The following is a 26,405-nucleotide window of genomic DNA, read 5'->3' as shown; positions in this document are numbered from 1 at the left end:
TCTAGCCCTGCCACATAACTCCTGGAACTGGTTGCAGAAACTGAACTTTGGCTTTCTAAACTTGGTGAAGGAACAACAGCCTCTTTCAAGCAAGGCCCTTTTGTTCCTAGTTCCCAGGGAGGAGGCAGAATCTTTGGCTGAACAAATTCGGTTCAGCCCAAGTCTCCCAGGGAAACGGCGCTGTGCTAAGCCCCCCATGGTCAATGCATTAACTTGCTCCTATCCCAGGCAGATCACCAATCAATTGGATGGCATTGGTTTTGTAATTTCAAAAGCATGTAGCCATCAGATTCATTATGCAATCATGGCCCGTTCGTAAGTAATACCAATAAGAAGTGCTTCCTGAGCAATGTCTCAGTTATGCCTCATGATAACCCTGTGATGTAGACACACCCCCATCTTTCGTTACACAGACAAGGAAACTGAGGCTCGCCAAGCTCAAAACCATTGCCAAGATCATCACTAGTAAGTGGCAGAGCTAAGATTCAAACACAGCAACTGCACATCCCTGGCCTCCAATCAACCAAGAAACAGCCAAATGAAGTAATTTTTTTAAAAAGGGAAAGAGGCCAGGCCTAGTGGCTCATGCCTGTAATCCCAACACTTTGGGAGGCCAAGGCAGGAGGATCACTTGATCGCAGGAGTTCAAGACCAGCCTGGACAAGATGGCAAAACCCCATCTCTACAAAAAATTTAAAAATTAGCTGGATGTGGTGGCACACACCCGCAGGCCCAGCTACTCGAGAGGCTGAGGTGGGAGGATCACTTGAGCCCAGGAAGCTGAGGCTGCAGCAAGCTGTGATTGTGCCACTGAACTCTAGCCTAGGTGACAGGGCGAGACCCTACCTCAAAAAAATAAGACAAAATAAAAAGTAAAAAAAAAACAAATGAAAACAAGAGAGAAGAAAAGAAAAAGGAAAGGACAAGGATGTATTTTTCATCATCGACTTCTTGCCACCTGAAATTACCAGCTTCTTCTCTGCAAGGGTTGTCTCCCCGACTGGAACGAAGGTGTTCTAGTGGGGCTGTGTTTGGTTCACCCCACAGCCCAGCCCTCAGCCGGGCACCTGACACCCAGAAGACCCTGAGCGAAGGTCTGGAGCGAGGGAACTCACAGGGCCCTGCTGTCTGAGCCAGGGCCACAGGCACAACCCCTGCCTTTCCCACAGGTGACAGCAAGGACAGCTCACCGTGCTGGGTCACTCTGCCCAGTCACCACCACAGGCGAAATGGTCGAGCCAGAGAGGCCCTCTCACGGTTCAGCTGAGCCAGGCCCAAGGTCAGCTCGCTGGGGAATTTCTCTCATTCGTTCATTCAATCGATCATTTCTTATTAGCTCATTCAACAAATACTTATTGAGCACTAACCACAACCAGGCATTGTGCGAGGCAGCCTTCTTGGGACAGTGAGTGTTAGGGACTGGTAACAAACGTACGGGGTCCAGTCTGGGGACAGAGAACAGGAAAAGGAAGCAAGCACAGCAGGACACAGCGTCAGACACGGGGTGCATCCTGCCCCTATCAAGGACGCAACCTGGTGGTAGTGAAAGTCCAGCTGGCATCCCCTCCCTCCACAGCAGGGCCTCAGGCCTGGTTTATATATGTTTCTAAATGAAGATCCAGCCCACAACACCAAAGACTGTCCAGGTACAGCATCATCAAGTATGGATGGAAAAAACGGCACATGCAAATGAACACCCTACAAAAATGTTAATTATCATCTCTGGCTGTCGGCATTCTAGGTGGATTTGGTTTTCTTCTGTTTATTTGCGTTATCTAACTGTGCTACAACAAACCCGAGTTCTTTATGTAATGGGTAAGGGGGGTGAACATCTTTAAAAAATAAATGTCCGCTCGTAGATGTATATCCAAAAGAACCAAAAGCAGGGGCGATAATAAATACTTGCACCAATGTTCACAGGAGCGTTACCCACAACAGCCAACAAGGGAACAACTCAAGTGTCTGTCGACCGAAGAATGGATAAATCAAATGTGGTCTATCCAGTCAATGGAACATTATTTGGCCTTAAAAAGGAAGGAAATTCTGGCATGTGCTAAACATGGGGGGAACGTAAAAACCTCACACTAAGTGACATAAGCCAGACACAGAAGGACAAATACCGTATGATTCCACTTAGCTCAGGTACTTCAATAGGCAAACTCATAGAGACAGCAAGTAGAACAGCAGTGACCAGGGGCTGGGACGAGGAGAGAATGGGTACAGAGTTTGTGCTGGGGATGATGAAAAAGTTCTGGGTGTAGACAGTGGTGACTGTGAATGTATTTAATGCCACTGAATTGTACACTTACAAATGGATAAAATGATAAGTATTGTGTTATGCATATTTTACCACAATAAAAAAATTTTTTTAAAACCTCAGAACTTCAGCTGCCAAAACGAATGAATGAATGAATGAATGAATGAATGAATGAGACCTTCACTCTTCCCTGATCAAGATTTTCCTGGTTGCATCATCAAATAGACAAAGTGAGAAAACAGCATGCTGTACCGGGGTAGGGACAGCGACTGGGGCAGTCTCTCTACCTGGGCCTCAGTTTCGCCAACTGTGAAATCAAGGCATCTGCCCCATCGGACCAGATGTGGAGCCTGTGACCAGATGTCATCTTTCCTCTCTTCAGTCTCACAGCTAATTCTAGGAAGGTGCTGGCACTAGGAAGAGCTCTGGCTTAGCCAGCCACCTCTCACTGTGCCCACGCCACTTCCCCTGGGAGACTCCTTTTCTCACCTGTGAAATGCGGAGACTAATGACAAAGCTACTGTCTCTACCCCTGCTTCCCTTACACACTGGCTGCGGCTCCCTCAGAAGATCACAAAGGTGAGGTGGATGGAGCCCTAGCTTCTTCCCTGAGCTGGCTGCCTGGAAAAAGCCACCCCGGCCAGGTAACTCAAGGGACTAGGAAAATCCTGGCTGCACTCAAGCTTGGCAAGGAGGCTGAGGGGCAGGAGAAATGAAGGAGAACTCTCCAAGGCCTGCCTTGTTGTCCAACCAACACCTACTTCATTTTTCCTTAGGTGGAACCATACAAGAGTGGGCACATAAAGGACACCTGGGAAGTCCCCTGAGGTCTCAGGAAAAGCAGTGGAGCCTAGGAAAAGACACACGAGCTCGAGTCGGCCTGACCTGGGTTTGCATCGCAGCTCCACAACCCACAGCCATGTGACCCTGGAGGCCAAGGGCCTGGGGTACCTGTCCCCTCTCTTGTAACACGGGGACACTGCCCACCCAGGGGGCTGAATAAGTGCCTGGCACATCATAGGTGCCTGAGAAATGGCAGGTTCCATTATTTCACCCGGTCCAGCCCTGGCAATCGGTACCCAGCTGGGCAGAGAGCCGGCTTGAATCGTCCTACAAAATCCTCAGGGAGGAGAGAGGACTCCATGCGCACAGCACGCTCATAAAAACAAATCTGAGAATAAAAACCACAACCGCCGTCCCGCCAAACGTAGTGGGAGTAATGAAGCAAACAAAAGGGAAAGTTCAACTCCTTTTTTTGGCTTTAGAACATGCAAATGCAAAATTCAGTGGCAAAGGAATTATCCCAGAAAAATTCCATGTCTAAATCTGAAATGGCCCCAAGGAACTCTGTCCCTCTCTAGTCATTTAAGTGACGTTTTGCTCTAGGGTGTGGCTAAAGATCGGGGCCAGCCAACCTGGGGAGAAACAAAGACAATGAGGAAACTTGTTTATTGGGGTCCTTAAAATGTTAACAACCAAGGAAAACCCTCAGCTTCTCTTAGTGGTGCTTGCTTACCATTGCTGAAGGTGAAGTCCTTGGTATCCAGAAGGAAGGAGCCCATTAGACCTGCACTCATCGTCCACTGCTCCATTCACATCAGCTGAATTTGCCAGGTAGCCTCCATGATAGAGACTCAGTAAAGGATCCATACTTCCCAAATTCCAGGCGTTCAAATGCCAAGACTGCCTTTGCCTCTGTGGATACTCCCTGGGCATATTTTCTCATGCTTAGTATTCTTTAATCGTTGGTCATCAAGGGTTTGTGGTCACTCTGTCCCTCTGCTTTACAGGTCAGGGAGGTGAGGCAGCCCAAGGTCACACTGAGAGCCAGGGCAAAGCTGAGCAGTGAGCCACCATCTGCCTGATTCCAGCAGAACAGCCCTCGGACTCAATCACAACGCAGCTCCAGTGATGCACTACACCTTATCAGAGAGTGAAGAACTGCTCTAAATCTTAAAACAAACATTTTAGGGGCAAGAAGTGCCAACCTTGAAACTCCAGACTGGGATAAAAGAAAAAATATTTCACCATAACCAAGAAGACTAAACACAGCTCAAGCAAGTACAGAAAACGCTGCAGGGACCAGCCCCACACTTACCTGGCCAAAGGAGCAAAACTCTGAATAAAAACCTTGATCTTTCTACTTAATGAAACATTTTTTTTTTTATCACTTACATGTTTATTTCTGTGCAAAGCTCCATTTCCTGCTGGGGAAGCGTCACTGACCCCCTAGCCTGGTTTATTGCCCTAGAGAGGGAGGTGTCCATGAATCCCTAAGAATGCCTATATTATGGATGCTAAAAAACACATAGTTGCTAAGTTTTATAAGCCCTGCTCTGTCTTACCATTTTGCCAGCCCAAGGATCCATAGCTTTCAGCACATTTTCAAAGGGAGTATGTCATTCCCAAATCTAGACCCAGTACCCCAGAACATCCATTCAGCAGGGAATAGTCTGTCATTTTGATTTTTGGTGACTGTGACAAAGGACTCACTGACCATCCACCCAGACACAAGAATGGAAATGAGACCAGGAATGAAAGAAAAAATAAATCACTTCCCAAAGCAAGTCATGGGATGCAGAAATGGACCAAAATTTAAGTGGATATGACAGAAGAGAAGTAAAAGATAATGATGACAACACAGTTCCATGGGTTTCCGAGAAGGAAAGAGGAAGAAAACTAGCCTCATCTTTATGAGGGCAGCCAGCTCCATGAGAACTGCCTATGCAGCTCACCGCAACACGCAATGCCTAGAACGGTGCCCAGCACATACTGCTGAATGTTGGATAAATATACCATGTCATTTACTCTCACAATCCTGGGATGTAGGGATGGGAATTTCAGTTTCCAAGATGAGGGTCAGAGAACTCATGTGATCTACCCAGAGTTACAAGCAACAAGAGGCATTGCTGGGATGTGAACCCAGATCCAGGCACTGCTTTGCAAACCCAGGTGCTTTCCTCTATACCACACTTTGTTTAACCCAAAATCATCTCTTAAGAGCGAACACCCTGGTGTGGAGAAGGCTTCAAAAAAATCCCACTGGCTCCCTTGAGGGTCATTTAACGACTCTGGGCCTTAAGTTCCTAATCTATGCAGTGAAAGAAGCTGGGCTACATCAAGAATGGCAAATAGGGTCCCCGTTGCATGCCAACAACAATTGATTATTAGTGGCTGTCTCTGAGCTCACTGGGAAGACTAATTACGCTAGGGTTGATTAGCAATGTCTACCACGGTCAAGGCAATGAGGAGTGGCAGCACATGTGTCACTTATTTGCCATCCCAGAACTAGATGAACTTCAAGTTCTCTTCCAACTATGGCTGGCTCTGATTCTAATTATAAAAACAAAAAAAGGGGGAAGGGGCAAATGGAGAAGGAAAAATAGGCTAACATTTTCCAACATGGGCCATGGCTGAATTCAGTCAAATCAAGGCTGTCTGCCCAGCCAGCCCCTCATGCTCCATGCACACAGCCCTGCCACATGGGAGGAAGTGGAAAACATCAGATCCACTGCCCACATACTCAACAAGACACCCAATCCAAGCCAGAAGCTGCAGAACAATGGGTTTTGCCTGGCTTGGCCTTAGTTGTAAAACACCTCACCAGGAAGCGTGGTAACCTCGCATCTGGGCTCAAACCTGGGCGGGACCTCTTGCCCATCCTGAGCCTTCACAGATTACTCCAACTCTCTAAGCCTCAGTTTCCTTCATCATTGAAAAACTTCACAGGATTGTCATAACGATCACATACAACAGGGCATCAAAGTTCTTCACAACAAGGCCACAGTGGGTAGGCAAAGAAATGGCCACTACCATCATCACCGTCATCATCACCACCACCATTTTGCTTTGCAGGGGGCAAATTTTCAGAAAAGAGTCCAAGTGCAAGAGATTCTTTTGTTTCTCCCACGTTCAGCATGATGCCCATTTGGTTGCTCTGAACTCTAAAGGGAAGAGGCTCTGAACACCACTCCATCTCCTCAAGCTCCTGGTGCATCAGCCAGGGTCCTGGGAGGAAACAGATGGCAGAGGAAATTTTCACAAAAGGACAATATATTAAGGCATGGGCAGCGTACAGGGGAAGCACAAAAGATGGTTTTTCTACCTAGGGTGACCAGCCGTCCAAGTGTGCCCAGGACTGAGGGGCTTCCTGGGCCACAGGACTTTCACTGCAAAAACCTGGGACAGTCCTGGGCAAACCAGGACAGCAGTCACTTCATTTCTCCCCCATGTATTTCTATCCCTGGGCCTGACACTGCAGGGGAAGGAGCAGTTACAGAAAAACCTGGGTAGAGGGAGTGACATGACTGCAGGAGTGGCTGAGGGACGCCACCCACCCATGGCAACCGCTGGCAACCCGAAGGAAAAGGGAGGAGGGAATAAATAGCCCACTCACCCTCCTCCCATCCTCCATCTCCCCCAGGCTCTCCACTGGCCAGACCCACCCAGAAGGCAGGGGAGCAGAAAAGAATGGAGGGTGGGGTTTCCAAGGCAAAGGCTGGAAAGAATAGAACATGGGCCCAGAGGCAAAGAAAAACACACAGGCCCTGTGTTGACTCTGGGGTGGCCAGGGGAGCCAAACCTCACCTCTCAGAGCCTCCATGGTGAGGCCTTGTGGGGACTCAGTGCCCCTAGCCCTCACACAACAGGAAGGAAAGGAACTTCCCTTCCCCACTGGAGGGGACACTGGGATGTGGCCAAAGTCCCCTTGGTCCATGGGTTTGGTTTGTGGCATTCAAAGGTGAGCCCAGCAGGGCTCGGAGGAAGAAGACCCCTTCAGCTGGCATCTGACAAGGCCACCTCCTAAGAGTGGGAAAGGCTAAGACAATTCCCCAAAGAAGCAGCAGCCTCCTGGGCTTGGTCTAAAGCAGGTGCTCTGTCACTGCAGACCCGAGTGGGGGATCAAAGGCAGGGCCTGCTTGGGGTGGAAGTCTATAAAATCCAGAGAGCACACCCCTGGAATTGCTACGCAGTTTACCCCACGGGTGTGCTCAGACCGGAGGCCACCAGTCAGAGGCAGTGCATGCGTCAGGGGCAATATCGTTTAGAAAATAAAAGCGACTTTCAATTCTGTTTTTAAATCATATTTTCCGAGATCAAAATCTTATTTCCCAAGCACTGCTGCTGAAAGCTGAGGTGAAAACCACCAATAATATCTTAATCCTCCCAACGGCGGGTTTCCATCTTGCTTGGGTTGGGAGCTTGGTGGCTGGGGTTAGGACAGGGGCTGAGAGCCCATTCCAAATAATGGTGCCTGAGGTCACGGAGCGAGGTCACGGAGCAGGGTCACGGCACGGGGTCACAGCGCAGGGTCACAGCACAGGGCCACGGGCACACCCAAGAAGAGCTTCCCTTGACTCCAAGGTCACCAGAAGGTTTCCAAGAAAACTGTGAGACTTTCCTGTCCCTTCACAGCCTGGATGCCAAGGTCCCCCACCATGCAACAGACAAAGGCCTTTATTGACATCGGGTATTCCTGGAAAAACGGACCCAAACCCTGCCTTCAAGCTCACAGTCCTGCAGGAAGCAGGAAGGTATACAGGTGGCAAACCCAACACAAGAGAAGCGGTAGCCACAGTAATGACAGTGATGGTGACGGTGACGGTGACAGTGATGGTGATGGTGATGGTGATGGTGATGGTGACAGTGATGGTGACGGTGACGGTGATGGTGACAGTGATGGTGACAGCGGAGATGACAGTAATGGTAGGGGTCATGATGATGATGATGATGGTAGCAAACATCTGTTGAGCACATGCCACGTGTCCACACTCTACTAAGTACTTTCCATGTATTCTCTCCTTTATTCTCAGAATTCCATGTATTCTCCCCTTTATCCTAGGGAGTGGCTACTCTTATATCCCCAGCTTTCAGATGAGGAAACTGAGAGCTGGATCACACCACTGGTTAAATGGCCTCATATGAAATGTCTGGATCAAAAAGCCTGGCCAGCCCTCCTAATCAACCTGCCCGATCACTGTCCTGTTTTAGGGAAGGACTGACCTGGGCAGGCAGGGGATTTAACGCCTCCACCTCCCTGCAAGACGTAATGGGGAAACAGTGTGCGGGTTTCAAAGTGGAGGCAGGGGGTTTCCTCCTTCCTGATCCCCTTCAAGCAAAGCTTCCCAGAATGGCTGAGCAGGGAGGGCCCTACGCAGGAGCACCCAGTGGAGGCCAGTGGGACTGAGATCAGCCGGGATCCCCTCCTCTAGTCATGCCCCCAGCCAGGGCTGTGCTGGCCCAGAGAGGGTGCCCTGCTTACCACTGGGGGCAACAGAAGAACCCCAGACTGTTCGTCTTTGCAGTGCTCCCTGACCCCTACCCCCCTTCACCAAGCCTGCGGGTAGAACCTGCATGCCAACTCCAGAACCTTGCTTTTTAATAGCCTTCCAGGTGATGGGGTTCAGCTATAAAAAGGAGAGGGACCCACTGCCCAGCCGTGGATGGGTCTGGGGTCAAACAGATGAAGGCCTCTTTAGAAGAGGTGAGAAGCCAGGGTCCCTATCCCCTCTCCTCCCCACTTCCTCATCTCCCCCAAAAACCTGCTTCAATTCAGACAGGGCACAAGAAGCAGGTTTTGAAGTCATTTTTCCTTACGCCAAAACTTTCTAATGCTAATTTCTCCCCCTCTCTCTTATTGGCATGATGTAATTCCCCTTTTCAACAACCCAGATCTCTGAAGTCCTGAGTCATCAGGGCGAAGGCAGGGACAGCGAGGGGGAGGTCAGTCGGGAGGGATCAAAGGTAGGGGGGAGCTTGCCAACGCCCAGGCCAGCTGGGATTTCCTTCTGGGGGCCTGGGGTGCCGTGGCCCACCGGCTCTTGGCCCCACACCATGCCAGACATGGGGACAGGGCTCCTAAGGCCCCCACATTGTTTTTCAGACCTCCTGTGGGCCAGTTCTGAAGAGACGAGGTGACTGTGGGACGGTGCAGGAGTTCCCAGCTCTGTCACATGCCAGCCCGGGCAGCCCCTGCCTGCTCCAGAAAATGGGACCTCACGAGGTAGGTGTGATGATTAAATGAATGAACACAGCAGTTCTCAACCAGGGGTAATGTGGCCCCCCGGGGACATGTGGCAGAGCCTGCTTGTTACGTATCACGGGTTGTTACAACTGTGGGGAGCAGTGGGCCAGCACCTGGCAGGTGGAGGCCAACCTAGAATAAAAGCTCCTCCTGCTCCCTGTGTACCTATGCCACACGCACTCATTTAGGAGAAAGGGTAGATGGCTCCACCCCACATGGTTAATACGGGTGATTTCCAGGTGGTGGGATTCTGGGAGGATTTTTTTCTTCTTGATTTTGTAAGATTGTCGTCAGCCCTGTATGATGGCTTCAGTTTTGCTTTTACAAGAGAGGGGAGGTAAATGTGGAGTGGAGAAGGCAAGAGGCAAAGGCGACCTGGCTGCCCAGCTGGGGTGGTGCCGCGCCACAGGGGAGCAAGCCCTGGCTCCAACTGGGGAAGGTAGCCCTGGAAAACCACTGACTGGCGGGGGGGTCGGAGGGGTTCCAAGCAGAAAGAAGAGGCGTGTGCCAAAGGTCAGAGGCATGGGGAAGCTGAGGCCAGAAGCCAGACAGGGCGGGACGCTCGCTCCACAGTAGACTTTGAACTTCGTGCTCACTGTGATCCAGTCCTCACCACCGGCTGTGACAGAGCGCTCTGCAGGGTCAGGTGGTCTCAGGCGAGGAGGCTGAGGTGACCACCCCAGGTTCAACGAGGGCAGGTGAGAAGCGATCCTCTGCCACGGCTCCTCCGGAGATGGGTCTGCAGGAAGCTGGCCCAGGAAGCTCCCGGAAGGGGCCCCAGTGCAGTCAGGGTAGACCCTTCTGCTCTGTCCACACGCTCTCCCTTCCACAAGGCCCTCCTCTCAGCTCACAGCCAGCCTGGCCACTGTGGGCCTTTCTGACATTCTGCTTTGCAGCCCCAAAACTCTGCTTACCAGCCACAGGCAGTGATACTCTGGAGCCAGACAGCCTGGGGTCAAATCCTCGCTCCACAATTACAAGCTGGGTAAGTAGGGACCTCTCCTCTCCGGGCCTCAGTTTGCTCATCTGTATAAGGGGGACAATGACAGCACCACCTCGCAGGGGCATCGTGAGGATTAGATGAATGTACATCTGCACAAAGGGCTCTAGTAGTGTCTGGCATAAAACAGGTTCTGGGTAAGTGCTCACTATCCTTACTGTTGCCTTGCTGGTGATTCGGCCCTTGCTGCCAGGGTTCCTGTGCTCACACCCCACCAGGGACTCGTCGTGACATCTGGAGGCCACTGGCTCTGGAGTTAGGCTGCCTGGGTTCCAGCTGTGTAACCTTGAACTCTTGAGGTCTCCATTTCCCCTGCTAACGCCTCACGGGGCTGATGAGAGGACGAAATGCGCACACGCCTAAAGGTCTGAGAATGACTGGAGGAAATGGTCATGATTACCCCGCGGTCCCCTCCACTCACCTTGGACATGACTATCATCTGGCTCTGGGCTCTGTCTGGCCCTGCTGGGACTCCCCGAGCTCAGTTGCCACCAGCCTGCTGGGACAGTTCGAGCTCTTCCATTTTCCTACCCTGAAGCAAGCCTCAGTCACAGGGTCGTGAAACATGAACCAACCAGGGCGACAAACAGATGTCAACAAGTCATCATTCCCCTTTCCAATGGGCAGACCTGCCCCTGTAACCTGCCAGCTGAGACCCCACTGCACTTCCCCCACTGCAGACAAGAGGCAGAGTGCCACTCCTGCGTCGCCTACAAGGTGCCCAACTGTGTCCCTGGCCCTGAGGTCCAGCCTGATGGGATCACCTTCGAGACAGCACAGGCCTAGGCAGGGCCTTCCCACCAGGCCTCCCTGAAGGGAAGGTTCAAGAAAGGGGTCCTGTGAGCCACAGCTCAGGCCTGGGATTTGGAGTAGCAGGGGTCTCTAGTGGAAAGCCCACCAGGAGCTCACCAGGCTGAGCCCAGCAGCCTGACGCCATTACCACCACTCTTCACAGGCCACAGGGGTGGGCTCGGAATCCTAGGGCCTGTGTGCACACCGAGAAAGGCTGTGTGCACCACAGCTGGGCCATGTGTTGGAGACACCATGTACGCAATCCCCTGCTTTCAGTACGGACAGAGCCCTGCAGCAGGGGAGTGGTAGAACTCGCACTTACGCAGAGGGCCAGAGGCCCGTGGGGTTACAAGGAAGTGGAGGGGTAGAGATCTGGGCTTGCGCCTCCCTCTCCGTGGGTCCCTCTCCCCTTCCAACAGGACGGACCTCCCAACTAGGCAAGCTGTTCATTCATCCAAACTATGTCTGTTGAGGGGCAGTGCCTCAGTGTCCCCATCGGTAAAATGGAGAGAGTAACAGTATCTAACTGGGTTGTACGGATCACTGATAAAACCTGCATAGCATAGCCCCTGGCAAGAGGAAACACACTAATCACACGAGTGGCCGCTGCACGGTCACTACTGTGACTAACTGCCTGGTCCTGGCGACTCGGAGATCCCTGCACTCCTAAGCCTTCCAATCTGTGACATCCCGGGCTCCCGGCTGGCCGGCCAGTCCTTAGTCTCTCTGCATCGTAAAGCACCACCCGCCCCAGGGTGCATGGGTTTACCCAGCATTAATCACCCCACACTGGTAGACTCTGCTCTAGGAGGCAAACCCACCTCTATCTTTAATTCCTATGCCGTCTTACGGTGTCCACCCCATAAAAACTGCACAGACTCCCGGAATGTGCCCAGCCGCTCTGGCCTGTCCCTTTGCTCACTGTTCCCTCTGCTCATTCCCACCTCCGACCTGCCACCCTCATCTCCATCAGTCTCCATCCTACCTCTCCATCCAGATGCCTGTCTCCTACAAAGAAGTCCTTCCTGAAACTCCCCACCCCCATGATGGCGTCTCTTCCTCCGTCCAAACACAGGACAAGACATAAACCTCTCTAAGCAATGTGCTTTGTTCAATGGTGTATCATAATTGTAATACCCCCATTTAACTATGAGTCCCTTGGGAGGGAAGAGTATGTCTGACTTTCCAAGTGCCATGCCTGAGAGCACTCACTATGCAAGAACAGTGCCCCAGAACACTCAATTTGCACAAATAATATATGGTGTTCAAGTTATACACCTAATGCTTACCCTTTACGAATAGCTGGCATTCAATTTCCCACATCGGTTCCCTTAACTTTTTTGACAAAATCACAAAGGAATGTCCGCCAACCTTGGCAAACACTAAACTGAAAAGCTCACTTATTTCTACCTAAGATGTTTCTGCAGGAGGCTGAAATAGTTTCATGTGCATCTACCAGGTGCATATACATTGATGGACCCACACAGACACGGGGTCAGACCTGGCTTTGACACTAAACTCTACTTCCTCCCAGCTCTCTTTATCTGAGACTCCATTAGAGCATCTGTAAAATGGGAATAAACACCTACCCCACAGGATTGTTGTGAAAATTAAATGAGCACTGTGCCCGGCACACAGTAGGGATACGATAAATATCGTTGCAACCAGGAACATATAGGTCCATCTCTTACAACGGATTTGCTCACCCTACTTTATTCCCCACCAGAGAAGACTGCAAGCTTGGCCGAAATGCCCCCAACCTCAAACCCAGGAACCAGATGAGATCACGGTCATGTGAATTTCCTTTCTAGGGAAGCAGCTCTGCTCTTGGCACCCTGGAGACCTCAAGATCTGCTGCTGCATCCCAAGGATGCTGGGGTGGGAGTAGTCATCGCTTCCATGCTCTCCTCTTCCTCCCAGACGCACATGTAAACCATGTTCCCAAGTCTTCCCCTGCACTCCGTGTGGCCGTGTGTCTGAGTTCTAGCCAACCAAGCGGCCAGATCTACAAACGGCTTGGCTGTGGTGCTCACTCTTTCCCCATCCCCCTGACAATGAAGGACCTAGGGGAGGGCAGACCCATTTCACAAGAAAAAGAGGGGGCAGAACCCTCGGGAGACCCCTGCAGGACTGCAAGAACTGGGCTGCATGAAGCCACCCAGATGCCAGGGCTGCGTGTTACGGCAGCTAGCCTGCCTGGGGAACACACAGCCCCTTCCATACCCGTGGCTCTCCTTCCCTGCAGAGCCTCGCACCGGTGTGTGTGTTGGTAAACAGGGTCACCTAGTCCACACAGGGAGCCAACATGCGAGGGAGGAGAGCCAGGCCTGGGTCTGCTCAGACTGTGTGCTCCAATTTTCAGATATCCTGGACCTCTAAGGAAACTGGCACTGGCCCAGGACACCCAGAGAAGCTAGCAGCAGTCCCGGTGTGATCTTCCTTCTCCATATGACCCCACCTGAGCTGGATGCAGCCAGCCCAGCCCAAGGGAAGCACCCAGATGGCTGTTTGATTCCATACACTCAAATCCTATATCCACCAGGGACCAGACGATCCAGACCACGTGCTTCCCTCCAAAAAGAGTTCGCCCAGCACAATCAGTTTAGTCGCTCCGTCCACCCTACCATTTCTGACAGTAGCTTGAAAGCAGTAGAGCCACGAACAAAGGATGCCATGGGAAGGCAGGAGTCTGGGTTTGAATCCCAGGTGGGCTGCTGAGCCAGCTGCAAGGGTCTTTGCCGACACACTTCCCCTCACCCCTTCCTCGCTGGCAAAACCAGAGGTGAATCAGAGCACTAGTGTGTTCTAGATCCTAGGATCCTTAGAGTGTAGTTATGGACAAAGGGAGTTGCGTTTTCAAAGTTCTGCTGGGCTTTGTCATTTAAGAATCTCTTAAGGCACTGCTACCAGGGCTATTCTTCACTATTTATTGGGAGGCAGCCAGGTTTGCAAAAAAAAAAAAAAAAAAACAAAACAAAAAAAAAACAAAAGAAAAAACACACAACAGAAGCAAAAGAATGGAAGCTTTACGGGGCAAGGAGCTGCCTGTGTGTCCATCACCTCGCACATTCTACATACTCATTAATTTTTTAAACAGATAATAACAGCTCCACAGAGCAGGAGGAAGGAAACTGACAATCATAGAACATGTACCAGGTGCAAGCCACTTTACTGGGTGATTTCCACAGATGATCTCCTCCCTCAGGGCCTTTGCAATTGCTGTTCCCTCTACCTGGAACGCTCTTCCCCCTGGAAGTCCTATCACCCGCTTCCCTGACCACTATGTACAAAGCAGCCCACCACTCGCCCCACCCTGCTTGCTTTTCTCCACGATCCCTGTCATCGGATTTTATAATTACTTGCTCTTAACTTAGTTGTTTGTCCACTCCCACCAACACAGGCTCCACGAGGGCAGGCTCCTGTTTTCTTCCGAGTGCCTAGAACGGTGACACTTAACTGCTGAATGGAGGCATGAAAGCACCGCCAGGCCTCACCTCATTTACCCTGACATCAATGCTAAGAGGAAGTTTCTCTGATCCTCGCTTTACAGATAAGGACACAGGCTAGGGGACCTGCCCAAGGTCACCACCTGGGACACTGCAGAGGCAGGATTCAAGCTCCCCTGTCTGATTTCAAAGTCCAGGTCCTCACTCCCCTACTCCACTGGGTCTGCCGTGTTCTCTTCCTGTGGCCTCACTGCACACCCCAAATGCCAGGACGAGCGCTGTGCACATGGGAGGGGTAACGAAATGGCTACTGAAGTCAGGAACCAATTTCAGCACCAGAAATATTTTCTCTGCCATCTCCTTTGCCTCAATACACACAGCAAACACCTCCCCCACACGCACGTCTCATCACCCTTCGGTTAGGGCTCTGCTGATGTAAGCGAAGCTTCCTTTCAAAATGCGCACAGTCTCCCTCGGTGCCTGTTGAATACACTGGGTGGTTCATCACCAGAGCCAGGAGCAAGGAAGAGAAACTCTCACTTCCTCTCTTCCTCCACCATGGGGCTGGGTGGCCTGGCTTCCATCCTGGGGAAAGCAGGAAGTCAGGGAACAAAAAGCAATGCCCTCAGGTGGAGCTGCACAGACCCTTGTTCTGTGGGTGGAAGTCAGCGCATCCTTGTCAGAGCCCCCTGGTCACCTATGTTCCTTCAGCTGCAGGGAAGACCAAGTGGCCAGACCCTCTGAGGGGGATCCCTGGTTGGTGACCTTTCAGCCAGAACAAAGCATGACTCCAGGTAGCAATAACCCCAGGAAACACTGCCCTTCCCTCTTCAAAAGGAGGCTCAGCTCCCCCATCCCAAAGAATTAAGCAAAAGAACATCAAAATAGAGACAACTCCATTCAGTAAAAATAGAAAATGTTTTCTTTCAAGGAACAAGAGTGTATTAGTCCGTTCCCACGCTGCTGATAAAGACATACCTGAGACTGGGCAATTTACAAAAGACAGAGGTTTAATGGACTCACAGTTCCACGTGGCTGGGGGGAACTTACAACCATGGTGGAAGGTGAAAGGCACGTCTTACATGGTGGCAGACAAGAGGAGAATGAAAGAGCTAGGCGAAACGGGTTTCCCCTTATAAAACCATCAGATCTCGTGAGACTTATTCACTACCAAGAGAACAGTATGGGGGAAAGCGCCCCATGAGTCAATTATCTCCCACTGGGTCCCTCCCACAACACAAGGGAATTATGGGAGCTACAACTCAAGATGAGATTTAAGTGGGAACACATCCAAACCATATCAAAGAGGCTGGGACTAACCTCAATGCCCATCAACAGGGGAGGGTCTACCTACATTACTGTGATACACTTCTACAACAGAACACTATGCAGCAATGAAAAAGAACAAGGCAGCTGCACACGCATGGAGGGTCTCCAAAATATACTGTCCAGTGAAGAACCACGGTAGACAGCTGTGTGCATGCATGTCCAGATACACAAGAAATGAGCAGCAGTGCTTGCCTCCAAGGAGGGCCACTAGGGGCTGTGTGGACGTCGAGTAAGGGAAGCTTCATTTTTCATTAAACACCTTGTTATACTAATCAAATCTACCTGATGCATACATGAGTATTTCAATTTTTGTAATTTATTTTAAGAAACTAGACTACGCCCCGCAAGGAATTTTTCTTAAACTGCTGGCAAGAATTTCATTGCCTTCCTACCTATGAGACCTGCTAAACACCCCTAGCTTTCCCCAATGCACTATTCATCTCAGGGAACTCTCTGGAGGCCACCCATTTTTAGGTAACAATAATCCCTTCCATTTGTGCAGAAAGTCATGAAGCTCTTTCAGGGCAATTAGCAAAACAGGAATTGGAATCCTGGTCACTGTATGCTGACTATACTAGTAGGTGCTTATCTATCCTCTCCAATCCTTACAGCAACCCTAGACATGAGGTGCTCTCCCTAAGGATGGAGGAAAAACAAGGCCCAGCAAGGGAAAGCAAAGCACCAAAAGTCACACAGCCAGGAAACTGCACCCTTCAAATCCAGATCCAGCGCCATGAGAACGCAAAACCCAAATCTGTTCTCCCCCACAGAGGAGATGCCCCATATCAGGCTGCCTCACCTAATCTCATGTATTCCTTTAATCAAAGGTGTAAGCTGACCCCCTGCAATGTCCATGCCAACAAAACACCAATTGGGTACCTTCAAGACGAGTCAGTCCTGGCTGGCAGCAGTTGAGGTACCCTGGGACAGCTTTGCCTTCTACCAGGTCCCCCTGAGCCCTGCCCAGGACAGTGCCCCAGAAATGCCCTCTCACTGCCCGATGAGACACTAAGGAGCAGGCAGGGCCGCCACATCAGTCAATCTGTGGGCCAAGCAGCCCAAGCCAGCAGCAACTGCCACCTCTGTCACCCACTTGCAGGAAAGCTCAGCCACATGCAGTGAAATTCCTTCCACCTGGACTGGCATGATGTTGCCGTGGCCGGAACAGGCATCTCAGATTGCACCAGGCAAATGCGAGCATCAAAACTTACTCCTTCCTTAAAATGCACTTACTTATTACAGCCTGGGAAAGGCAGACCACGTTTGCAATTTACAGAGAATTTTGACTTTTTCTCCTCTCTGTCTCAGCCCCTCCCCTCCACCACCTCCAATCAGACAAGTTGTCTAGGAAACAATTTTGATACACTCCAAAATCCTCCTATGACAAATGGCATGGAAAGGGGGGGGGGGAAATCTGTGTGTTTACTGCCACAAAAAAACATCAAATAAATTAAAGGCAGGCTAGGCACATGGGGGGAAGGGGGGTATGTAACAAAAGTGAAAAAGCAATTAACATGCGTGCATGTGGGCACAGATGAGTTCTCGTGGGATCTGTGACTACCCTGGAGGACATAGATTTTAATTCTTAGGTAGAAACCAAGCCATGTGGATGTGTAACTCTTAGCTCAGCAAGTGACACACAGTAGGCATGCAGTAAGCCTGTGCTAAACAAAGTCCAAGTTCAGAAAACACCAGACTAAAGAAACCAATGAGAATGAAGGTGGCTTCTCCTTTCCCATCCATATCAAGATGCCCAGAAACATTGCAATCAAACAGCAGAGTGGTGAAAATTTAAAAACAAGCCACTGATGAATTATGGCTTGAGAATAAAGAACACTACTGTCACCTGTGCCCCGACCCCTGAATAAAGGACTTTCTGAGTGGATCCACCATTCTGAAATACCGTGTGCCACATTCTCTTAAAAGTAAGATGAAATAAAAGGTAGGCAGCTTATTTGTACTTCTGTGGTGCAGAAGAAACAAAGCCTACAGACAAAGCCCTCTGCCCACGGACAAACATGCCTAGCAGGTGATCAAATTCAACCCACAGACGAGAGCAGCAAAATGGATTCTGGTCCTGCCGAACCCGGCCGCTTATGCAGAACCCCTGGCTGCCCTGGCTGTCATTTACAACCAACACGACCATCACCAGCCATGAAGAGCCAGTGAGGCCCAGGAACTGGGAAGTTTGGGTACAAAGAGGGAATGGGGCACCACATTCAGGCCACAGCCTGGGCAGACAGGCCCTTCCCCACAAAGGTGCAGTCCTGGGTCCCCAAGGGAGGGGGCCCTGGCCTCCCTATCTCCCCTCCCAAGTCAGCTGTCGCCTATCTGCTTCCTCCTTTGTTTACGAGCATTTCGGATCCAAAGTCTCCAAGCACAGGGTGCATCAGACCTGGCGGCCGTCACAAGCCACATTAGGCACGCTGTTGGCTCTGCAAGGATTTAATCAGTAACTGGCCCAGGAGACCAGGGCAGGGCAAGCTGCGACCTGATCCCACAGGAGGCAAAGTTTACAGGCAGGCCAGGCGGGTGAGGCTGCTGGCTCCACCGGTAAGACAGCCTGGAGGGCTATCAGGTCCCTTGGACCCCAGACTAAAAGGTGTACCTAGCCGGTGTCACCCAGCAGGTGGGACTGGGAGCCCGAGTCTGCCTGCATCCCAGCCTGATGCAGATGTGCTCCTGGAAGCACGGTCTTAAATCTCTCAGATTCGGTTAATTGGATCAATGGAAACAGACTGCAAAAGGTTTGGGCAAAAAAGAGTATTTGGCTTGTTTATTGGTTTGAATCCCTATCAATCACTCTGGGTCTTGTTCCTGAAGCCCATACAATTAACCAGATAATTACCAGATGATTCTGAGTTGGGCTGTGTAGATGGCTTAAAATATGGATGACTGATATTTCAAGTAAGGATATGACTCTATAGGAAACATACTTGGAATATCGGGAGCTCAGGGCTGGGCCAGCGGCTGCTGCGAAGCCACAGGACTGCAAAGGGTTTTTGTTCTAGGGAACTGCACTCAAATTCACCTTTGTTTTATTTGGGCTCATATTTCTCAATAGAGTGCTTGGGCCGCACTATAAAACGCAGACAGATTACATAATGTCCAGGCCTCAGGGAAACCCCACAGGGGCTCCGCTGCTTCCCCGAGAGCCTGGACACCAACCAGGTGTCTCATGATGGGACGAGAGCCCTGGTGGCAGTCCCAACCTCACCTCTACCCGGGAGGCCAGCGCTCCAGCCAGGCCAGCCCTCACAGCCCCACCTCCAGGCTCACAGGCCCTGAGGCAAGGCCCCCTGGAGCCCACCAGAGGGCAAGGGTAAGACTTAAGGACACCCCCTGCCTGTAGTGCTTGGTGACGAAAGGCAGCGGAAAGGGGATTATGCCAGTCCATCAAACACTTCCTTATAGTTCCTCTTGCCACATTTCCTAACACCAGAGCATGGCTCTGCCAAGAGAATCTTGCTCCATGGATAAGCCTCAGTCCCCAGTACTAGACAGGTGCTTTCCGGAAAGGCCCACACTACCGATGGTGCCACCTACCTGGGCTGGCCAAGGTGAGCGAGGGGCCTCTGGCTATTCAGGTCTTTCTTCCTTCCCTCTTTCTCTCAGATATACCTCCTGAGCAATCGGAGGTAAGTGGGGAGGCATTAGCCTCGAGAGCTGGCTTTCCGGAAACAGGACGGTAGCAGCGGGACACTCACTCCTGGCTTCTCCCAGAGGGAGAAGGGGCTCCTCCTGGCCTTCCCATGGCAGGTCACTGTTCCTTCTAACCATTTTCCTACCCCACCACCAACAACCCTTCATTTTGTGGAGTGTAAGAGGAAAAAAAAAAAAAAAGCCCAATAAAGTCCCCCTGAGCCAGGTGAAAATTCTGAAGCCAGATCTGGGGTCTCCAGAATCCAGGCAGGGGGCACCGCGGTCACCAGTTCCTCCCCACATCAGAAACACTCCGTACTGGCAAATTTTCGGAGGCTCTCTCCCGCCTCCATCCATTGGAAAGCCAAATGCTGCGGCCTGTGGCGCGGGACGGGCTTGAGAACATGCACCAGCCTGACCGGGGACTGGGCCGCCTCCCCGCGACCAGCAATCCTCCCTGAAAAAGGAGTCTTTGCAGATATTGCACCAACGTGCCCACAGGAAAGAGAAAATAGGTGCTCTAAGCATGTCGGACCCCAAATTAAGAATAAAAGTCCTCGAGGGCTGCAACGCTCTGGGGTGGGGGGTGGGGGACTGGTTCAAAGAGTAGGATTCTTCAGCTAACTTTTCCCCCCTCCCCATTCCTTGGGGCATGTGTCATGGCCTGTGACACACCGCCAAGGGAACATGGATGCCAGGGAAATGTCTACACACGCTACACGTTTGTGACATGCCATGTAAGCGACACCCTATTTCCTGGCTGGGTTTTCTTGGCACAGGTGTGGGCAGGCAGTGGATTCGGCCCCCTCCCACTGCGCTTAGTAAACAGGATCACGGTGGCCCCAGGGAGGAGTGTGCATTCTGGGGAAGACAAGCTACACCCCCAATGAGGATGGGACCCCCACGGCAAGCCTCAGGCCCAAGCCACAGCCGGTATTTGAAACTGTCCTTGTTTCAAAACACAAAGCATCCTGTTCAGGCTCCTACCCGCCACCCCCACTCTCCCCTCGACCCCACCACAGCTGTCTTTCTCCACGTACGAAGAAGGCCACCATTTGCAGATCTGATTTCAGAAACAGATCAATGGTTTTTCCTCTCCGACTCATCCAGCTGACCCAGTCCTACCCATGTATTTAAAAACAATAACAAAATTAAACCTCCAGCAACAAAACACACACGTATACACACACTCTACAGACAATGCCGGACCAGGGCTCCACCAAGCAGCTTCTAGGCTAGAACTCGACCACCGCTGGGTCCTGAGATATTCCAGGACCACTGCCCCCTCCCCCTCCACTTCCAACCTCTCAATGTGCGAATGAGATTTTCAGAAAGGGAAGCACCCCGTTCTGCCTGCCAGCCCTGGCAGGAAAGAGAATAAAGGACGGGTAAACCAAACAGAGAAACTGGCTTCTGGAAATTCTTTGGGTTTGGGGGTTTGGAGGTTTTGTTGTGTTGTTTGTTTTTTTTTTTAAATCTGAGGGGTGGTATTTTGTTTTCCCCTCCCCCACCCCTCAGATCCAGATGGGCCAGGGGCTTCCAGAGAGAACCCCCACCACCATCAGGGCCCAGCGTCGGGTCCATCCTCGAGTCCCAGCCACCAGAAACACAAGAGCTGGGGGCAGAAGGTCCCCAGGCACCCAGCCTGGCGGTGGGCCGAGTCTCCAGCATTTTAAGGGTCTCTCCTGAGCCCGGTCGGCTGGTTTGGGCTTCAGACTCCAAAATCGAGCCCCGCGAGCAGGCCAGGAGCGAGGCGCCCTGGTTCTCCCCGTTCCCCCGGCACCCCCCACCGCCCCCCAGGCCCTGGGCTCCAGGTGCAGCGCCAGGGGGCAGCCAGGGAGGGCGCATCTCGGGCCCCGAGGAGAGGCGGGGGTGCAGCCGCGCAGAGCCACTCACCGTGGCGGACGCCAGGCTGTTGTCGGCCAGCGTTAGGTGGTGCGGCTCCCAGCGCCTCAGGAATTTCGAGGTGAGGATCTTGCTGAGAAAGGTCCGCGGGTGCCGGATGACACAGACCTGAATGTCGCCCTCCTGCAGCAGTTTGTACCTCATCCCGTTGCAAAGCAGAAGAGCCCGGCGGCAGGGCACGGCGCCCATCTTCGTGCCTTCGGGGGCCGACACGTCGCCCCCCAGCAGCGGCTTGGTCTCCTCGATCTGCCGGGGGTCGCCGCCGCCGCCCGAGCTGCTGGTCACATCCATGGCCGCGCCGGGGGAGGGGGCTGGGGGCGGGGAGAGGGGGCTGTCCTGGGCTGCTGGGGCGGCGGGGCCCCCGGATCCGGCGGCCCGCACCCCCCCACCCCCCGGGAAGGTGGGGGGGTGTGGGGCTGGGGGCGCCCGCAGGGGAGGGGGCGCTGCCCGCGGGGGGCGGCGCGTGCGGCGGGCTGGGCCGGCCTCGGCGCTTCCTGCGGGGCTCCGGGCTTCCTCCTAGCTCGTCGGGTGCATGCTCGCGGCGGCTGACCGGGCTCGGCGGGCGACGGGGAGGGGCGGGGGAGGCCGAGGGCGGGCCGGGGCCAGGCGCGGAGGGCGGGCGCCGGGGTGGGGGCGGCGGGGTGGGGGCGGGCGTGTCTCGGGGCCCCGCGCCGCCGCGCGCGTGTGTACAGAGCGTGTGTCCGCGCGGCCGTCCGGGCGAGAGTGGCCGCGGGCGGGGCGGGCCGCGCGCCGGGCTCCCGGAGCCCGGGGCGCCCGCGCGATTGGTCCCCGCAGGGTCATGTGCCCGCCCCTCTGACGTCAATGGCGGCAACGGCGGCGGCCGCGGCGGCTTCGGCCTCTCGCGGGCGGAGTCCGCGGTCCGGGCGGGGTCGCGGCCCACGACGGGGAGGCGCGGCCCGACGGGAGGGGCAGCCCCTGGGGAGGGGGCTGGGGCGGGCGAGCCCCGCGGGGTCCCGGCCCGCCCCGCCTGGAATGTGGGGAGGGGGCGGGGCGCGGGGGCGGGGCGCGTGACGTCACGCCAGCCGCGCCCCCGCGGGTGCCCGGGCGGGAGCCCAGCCAGGCTGCCGGAGCCTGGGGGCCCGCGCCTCACCCACCCCCGCCGCCCCCGGGCCGGACTCGGACGGGTAAAGAAGGATACCCGAGGGCCGGGGGCTGGGTGGAAGGACGGGGACTGGAACCCTCGACCCCTGACGCCCCCTCCGCTGTCCAGGCTGTCCAGCGGGCTGGCCAGATGGGGCCGTGGGACGGGGACGCCTTCCCGACTGAAAGTGTCCCCGCGGTGATCCGGAGGATGAGCCCACCCTGCCCTGTCTCCCACTGCGGGACCCAGCCGGCCTCGAACTCCTGGCCTTTGACGTCTGCTGGCTTTGGCCTTGGGGGTCCTCAAACCTTCTGGAGAGAGGGGACGGTCCGCCCATCCCCCTTCTTTCTTCTGCCCAGGGAGACAGAGCCTCTTCTAGGAACCCACTTAAAGCACCCCCCAACCTACACAGCCACCCCTCTTGTGCGCACCCCAGCAGCTCCCCCTACTTCACCTTCCCTGGGACCCCACCTGGTCATTTTATCTGAGTTCACAGGCCCAGCACCAGCCCACGAGAGAACCATATTCGATTCTCTTGTGACCCAGGGTATCAGGAACTGCAGCCTGGATGCAAAAAGCTCCCTTTCTGCCATCACAAGCAGCCGGCACCTAAGGCCACCTAGCAAATGCTCAGCTCCTCAGCCAGGTTTTCTTATCTCCACGTGCTCCTGCAGCTAATAACGTTAAAACCCTAGATTTTTGCCTTTTTAAGTGAAGGCGCCTCTGTAGTGAACACATGAATGTGTGCAGCGTGTGTTGAACTGCGTCGTGAACACTGCGGAATATCCACAGCATCTGTGCCGTTGGTGGAAATTATTCACCCCCCCTCTCCCAAGAACAGGCAGCATGAAGGTGCTCCCCAGAGGACCCTCTCCCCGAGCCTGGCCAGGGTTTCAGGCAGGGGATGAAAGGCAGGTCCCAGGCTGCATCCCTCACCAAGGAAAGAAGACTCACATCCAGCCTGCCCAGGAGATGCCTCCTTGGGGAGGCACAATTAGATTAGAAAGTTAGAAATTCCTTAGCTCCCCACAATTTGCTGCCATTTCCTTCCAGTTTTGAGCTTGAACAGCCTTGAGAAAACCACCAAGCATGAAGGGGCAAGCCCTAGATATGTGGGTGTTGGGGGGTGGTTGGGGCCAAGAAACCCCCCAGTCCATTAAGCGGGTGGGATTAGATCCTTTGTTCAAATATTTTCATTGAGCTCCTGCTGTATGCTGGTCACAGGCCAGGCACTAGGGTATTAATGGTAATGACTATAATAACCACAGTGGCCAGAGGCTTCCTATGTGCTAAGAATTTTGTACGCACACATCATTCTCTTCTCACACCCTATGACATAGGTGCTGTCCTCATCCTCAACCACAAAGCATGGAGGTCAGAGTCCAGAACAGTAACAGACATTGTGCTTGGTGCTCCAGGAACAGAAAGGGGGATGTCTAACCCAGTGTGGGGGACCAGGGTACTCTAAGAGTTCTTTAGGAATCAAGTAAAGAAGGGGATAGGTGCTCCAAGAAGACGAACTGGCTCCTACCAAGGCAAAGAGATGGGAGGATGCTCAGCTTGTTCAGGAAACTGAACTCACTTGCCATGGGGTGCAAGGTCCCTGGAGGAGGTGGAGCAGAGATGTAGGCGGTGAGCAAGCAGCACCCTGAAATGCAAACCCAGGGACTAGAGCAGTGGGGAGACACCACATGGGCCATGCAAAGGAGTGACTTGTACATGGCTTCTTCAAAAGGCTGCAGTGTGGCACAGATGAGCATTGCAGAGGAGAAACCTAGAGGCAAGGAGGCCAGTGAGGAGACTTTCATGCTCACCTACCCCCCACAGAAGGAAGCAACAAGGGCTAGCACAAAGTCACTGGGTGGAGTGGCCCAGTGGCAAGCAAAGCAGCTGCTGTCCACTTCGGGGACATCTGTGGACACGCCCCTACCCATACAGGGCACAAAACTCCAGTAGAAGGAGGAGATTTAGCAGGATGCAAATCCCTGATATATTCCAGGACCATTCCAGACATCCTCCATGCAGCCCAGTACAGTGGTTGATTTGTAAACATTAAGTAGGACATACCGTGATAATAATGACCGGTACCCAAGCACCAGATACCATGCTGGAGGCCTTATGTATTTGTTCTCGTTTATTCCTCCCCACCAGCCTAGGAGGTAGGAACTATTACCATCCCCATCTTAAGTGAGGAAGTTGAGGCTCAGACAGGGTCAGACAACTATCAGGATCCAGCCGAGGTTTGAACCTCAGATTCTGTTCGACCTCAAATTCCATGTGCTTCCCACTCCTCTGGGAATTTAGGAGGACATTACAAATGTCTGTCTTTGTAATGTTGTCCTGAGCAGGCATTCAGGAAGAAAGTATTGAATTCAATCAGTGTCCTCTTTAAATAGCAGTATTTCTTGAATATAGTTTCAAATCAGTGAAATGGAGCCCCCAAGACACGGCAAAGAAAGTTCCTGAGGGCAGAAGCCAGAAGCGCCTGTCTGGCAACAGCACTAGCTCAGTGCCTGGACAAAGCTGGGGTGCAGCAAATACACAGGGATTGATTGTCAAAAACATACTCCTTGGTGCTTAGCAAAGGTCCAGCCACAGGACTGGGTCAGTAAGTTGCGGGGGATGAGCTGGGATGGCGTTAGTACTCAGTCTGTGACAGTGTGACAGTTGAGTCCACAGCCTCCTAGACTGGGATTTGGCTAACTCATTGCAGAGCCCCTCCACCTTCCACTATCCCAGGCTCCCAACCTAGAAAGGAATCTGAATCCAGCCATCAGATTCCATCAGAGCCCCATCCCTGGAGCTCCCCAAATTATAGGAAACATGAGCCCGTCGAGCTCCCGTGGATGGACCATGTCCCCGAGTTGTGCTCAATGCCCTGGAACTCCAGACCCTCCAAAGAATGGTCCGAGCCCCTAAGAGCCTCCCCTTCCAACACTGAACTTGAGAAGCTTACGGAGTAGCAGGAAGGGCACGGCGGTTCACGCACCCTTCACTCCCCTTGGGCTCTCGCAGGCTCGTTCACTAACCAGAGGCCAGTTCACCAGACAAACCTGTCATTTTCTGCATTCTTTGCTGGCGGTGTCTCCTTGTTTGAGCCAGGTTCCAAAGGATGACGTGTGCCCTCACCTGAACTACCGCTTTCGTTCAACAGCCCACTGTGGGGTCACCCCGGGCCACACTGGTGGAGGACCCACTCGATCAACTCAATGCTAGGAGCTGGGATGCCAAACTGAACAGTAAAGTGCCTTCATGGGCACAGTCTCAACTCGAGTTCTCTGAGGTGTCCCCTGTAGCTAACTCAGAAGGGAAAGACACACCCGCTACCCAGGCTGCCATTAAGGAATTTGATGAGGTGGCAAAGTACCTGTTGGGGAGGAGAGCAGTGGAGCTGAGGGGCAGCCTAGGAGAGGTTGAGCTGAGGCGCCTTCCAGCAGCCACACCTGTAAGTGGATGTTCCCCCTGCTCCCATGAGGGCAGCATTTTATGTGCTATGGATCTGTAGCACCCAGCACCGTCCCCAGCCCTCAAATAGGTGCTAATAAACAGGTGTTTAACGGAATTAAATAAAAGAAAGAATGAATGAAGCGGGCAAAGTAAATGCATAGTGATTTTCGGTTGAATGGCTGGATCTCGCTGCGATGTCAATGTCCTCACCCCTGAGCTACGTGACACTGCTTCATTCATTTTCTTTTATTTGATTCCATTAAACATCTGTTTATTAGCACCTATTTGAGGGCCGGGGACGGTGTTGGGTACTACAGATCCATAGCACACAAAATGCTGCCCTCATGGGAGCTCAGCAACTATTGTCATGGGGGGTCAGCAACTATAGTCAAGGGGCCAGATTCAGCCCATGGACTCCAAAGCCTAAAATATTCACTCTCTGGCCCCTTTTCAGAAAAAGT

The 26,405-nt window shown here is 52.9% G+C and overlaps 1 protein-coding gene across 3 annotated transcripts in view, besides 17 other annotated features; it reads right to left on the bottom strand.

Annotated features, from left to right (window-relative positions):
* Window positions 1–22,120, bottom strand: part of CMIP (c-Maf inducing protein) — a 266,955-nt gene extending 244,835 nt beyond the window's left edge. For all 3 annotated transcript variants that reach the window (XM_047434717.1, NM_198390.3, XM_011523352.2), the window contains exon 1: window positions 21,387–22,120. Coding sequence is in view for 2 of the 3 variants with exons in the window: in NM_198390.3 (NP_938204.2) it covers window positions 21,387–21,686 (300 nt within the window). In the remaining variant the exon portion in view is untranslated. The remainder of the gene's footprint in view (window positions 1–21,386) is intronic.
* Window positions 2,617–3,156: an enhancer, noted in NCBI's record as "H3K27ac-H3K4me1 hESC enhancer chr16:81497377-81497916 (GRCh37/hg19 assembly coordinates)". NCBI's record gives its function as "activates a minimal SCP1, AML or CMV promoter by ChIP-STARR-seq in naive H9 embryonic stem cells {active_cell/tissue: H9 hESC(naive)}" and the evidence as "EXISTENCE:reporter gene assay evidence [ECO:0000049][PMID:30033119]".
* Window positions 8,495–9,180: an enhancer, noted in NCBI's record as "H3K27ac-H3K4me1 hESC enhancer chr16:81491353-81492038 (GRCh37/hg19 assembly coordinates)". NCBI's record gives its function as "activates a minimal SCP1, AML or CMV promoter by ChIP-STARR-seq in naive H9 embryonic stem cells {active_cell/tissue: H9 hESC(naive)}" and the evidence as "EXISTENCE:reporter gene assay evidence [ECO:0000049][PMID:30033119]".
* Window positions 8,830–9,124: an enhancer, noted in NCBI's record as "tiled region #2416; HepG2 Activating DNase matched - State 5:Enh, and K562 Activating DNase unmatched - State 5:Enh". NCBI's record gives its function as "activates a minimal TATA promoter and a strong SV40 promoter by Sharpr-MPRA in HepG2 and K562 cells {active_cell/tissue: HepG2 | K562}" and the evidence as "EXISTENCE:reporter gene assay evidence [ECO:0000049][PMID:27701403]".
* Window positions 9,181–9,865: an enhancer, noted in NCBI's record as "H3K27ac-H3K4me1 hESC enhancer chr16:81490668-81491352 (GRCh37/hg19 assembly coordinates)". NCBI's record gives its function as "activates a minimal SCP1, AML or CMV promoter by ChIP-STARR-seq in naive H9 embryonic stem cells {active_cell/tissue: H9 hESC(naive)}" and the evidence as "EXISTENCE:reporter gene assay evidence [ECO:0000049][PMID:30033119]".
* Window positions 9,181–9,944: a biological region, named in NCBI's record as "Sharpr-MPRA regulatory region 2768".
* Window positions 9,650–9,944: an enhancer, noted in NCBI's record as "tiled region #2768; HepG2 Activating DNase matched - State 5:Enh". NCBI's record gives its function as "activates a minimal TATA promoter and a strong SV40 promoter by Sharpr-MPRA in HepG2 cells {active_cell/tissue: HepG2}" and the evidence as "EXISTENCE:reporter gene assay evidence [ECO:0000049][PMID:27701403]".
* Window positions 9,650–9,944: a silencer, noted in NCBI's record as "tiled region #2768; K562 Repressive non-DNase unmatched - State 14:Gen5'". NCBI's record gives its function as "represses a minimal TATA promoter and a strong SV40 promoter by Sharpr-MPRA in K562 cells {active_cell/tissue: K562}" and the evidence as "EXISTENCE:reporter gene assay evidence [ECO:0000049][PMID:27701403]".
* Window positions 10,552–11,236: an enhancer, noted in NCBI's record as "H3K27ac-H3K4me1 hESC enhancer chr16:81489297-81489981 (GRCh37/hg19 assembly coordinates)". NCBI's record gives its function as "activates a minimal SCP1, AML or CMV promoter by ChIP-STARR-seq in primed H9 embryonic stem cells {active_cell/tissue: H9 hESC(primed)}" and the evidence as "EXISTENCE:reporter gene assay evidence [ECO:0000049][PMID:30033119]".
* Window positions 14,854–15,193: an enhancer, noted in NCBI's record as "active region_11182". NCBI's record gives its function as "activates an Ori minimal core promoter by ATAC-STARR-seq in GM12878 lymphoblastoid cells {active_cell/tissue: GM12878}" and the evidence as "EXISTENCE:reporter gene assay evidence [ECO:0000049][PMID:35858748]".
* Window positions 17,523–18,286: an enhancer, noted in NCBI's record as "H3K27ac-H3K4me1 hESC enhancer chr16:81482247-81483010 (GRCh37/hg19 assembly coordinates)". NCBI's record gives its function as "activates a minimal SCP1, AML or CMV promoter by ChIP-STARR-seq in naive H9 embryonic stem cells {active_cell/tissue: H9 hESC(naive)}" and the evidence as "EXISTENCE:reporter gene assay evidence [ECO:0000049][PMID:30033119]".
* Window positions 19,053–19,816: an enhancer, noted in NCBI's record as "H3K27ac-H3K4me1 hESC enhancer chr16:81480717-81481480 (GRCh37/hg19 assembly coordinates)". NCBI's record gives its function as "activates a minimal SCP1, AML or CMV promoter by ChIP-STARR-seq in primed H9 embryonic stem cells {active_cell/tissue: H9 hESC(primed)}" and the evidence as "EXISTENCE:reporter gene assay evidence [ECO:0000049][PMID:30033119]".
* Window positions 19,817–20,582: an enhancer, noted in NCBI's record as "H3K27ac-H3K4me1 hESC enhancer chr16:81479951-81480716 (GRCh37/hg19 assembly coordinates)". NCBI's record gives its function as "activates a minimal SCP1, AML or CMV promoter by ChIP-STARR-seq in naive and primed H9 embryonic stem cells {active_cell/tissue: H9 hESC(naive and primed)}" and the evidence as "EXISTENCE:reporter gene assay evidence [ECO:0000049][PMID:30033119]".
* Window positions 21,128–21,427: a silencer, noted in NCBI's record as "silent region_7759". NCBI's record gives its function as "represses an Ori minimal core promoter by ATAC-STARR-seq in GM12878 lymphoblastoid cells {active_cell/tissue: GM12878}" and the evidence as "EXISTENCE:reporter gene assay evidence [ECO:0000049][PMID:35858748]".
* Window positions 21,858–21,907: a silencer, noted in NCBI's record as "silent region_7758". NCBI's record gives its function as "represses an Ori minimal core promoter by ATAC-STARR-seq in GM12878 lymphoblastoid cells {active_cell/tissue: GM12878}" and the evidence as "EXISTENCE:reporter gene assay evidence [ECO:0000049][PMID:35858748]".
* Window positions 21,978–22,327: a silencer, noted in NCBI's record as "silent region_7757". NCBI's record gives its function as "represses an Ori minimal core promoter by ATAC-STARR-seq in GM12878 lymphoblastoid cells {active_cell/tissue: GM12878}" and the evidence as "EXISTENCE:reporter gene assay evidence [ECO:0000049][PMID:35858748]".
* Window positions 22,438–22,537: a silencer, noted in NCBI's record as "silent region_7756". NCBI's record gives its function as "represses an Ori minimal core promoter by ATAC-STARR-seq in GM12878 lymphoblastoid cells {active_cell/tissue: GM12878}" and the evidence as "EXISTENCE:reporter gene assay evidence [ECO:0000049][PMID:35858748]".
* Window positions 22,747–23,279: an enhancer, noted in NCBI's record as "H3K27ac-H3K4me1 hESC enhancer chr16:81477254-81477786 (GRCh37/hg19 assembly coordinates)". NCBI's record gives its function as "activates a minimal SCP1, AML or CMV promoter by ChIP-STARR-seq in naive H9 embryonic stem cells {active_cell/tissue: H9 hESC(naive)}" and the evidence as "EXISTENCE:reporter gene assay evidence [ECO:0000049][PMID:30033119]".

This window comes from Homo sapiens, chromosome 16, assembly GCF_000001405.40.
Source record: "Homo sapiens chromosome 16, GRCh38.p14 Primary Assembly".
Taxonomy (NCBI): Eukaryota; Metazoa; Chordata; class Mammalia; order Primates; family Hominidae; genus Homo; species Homo sapiens.
Note: the sequence above shows the minus strand (reverse complement) of the source record. Positions and strands in the feature narration are given on the sequence as shown.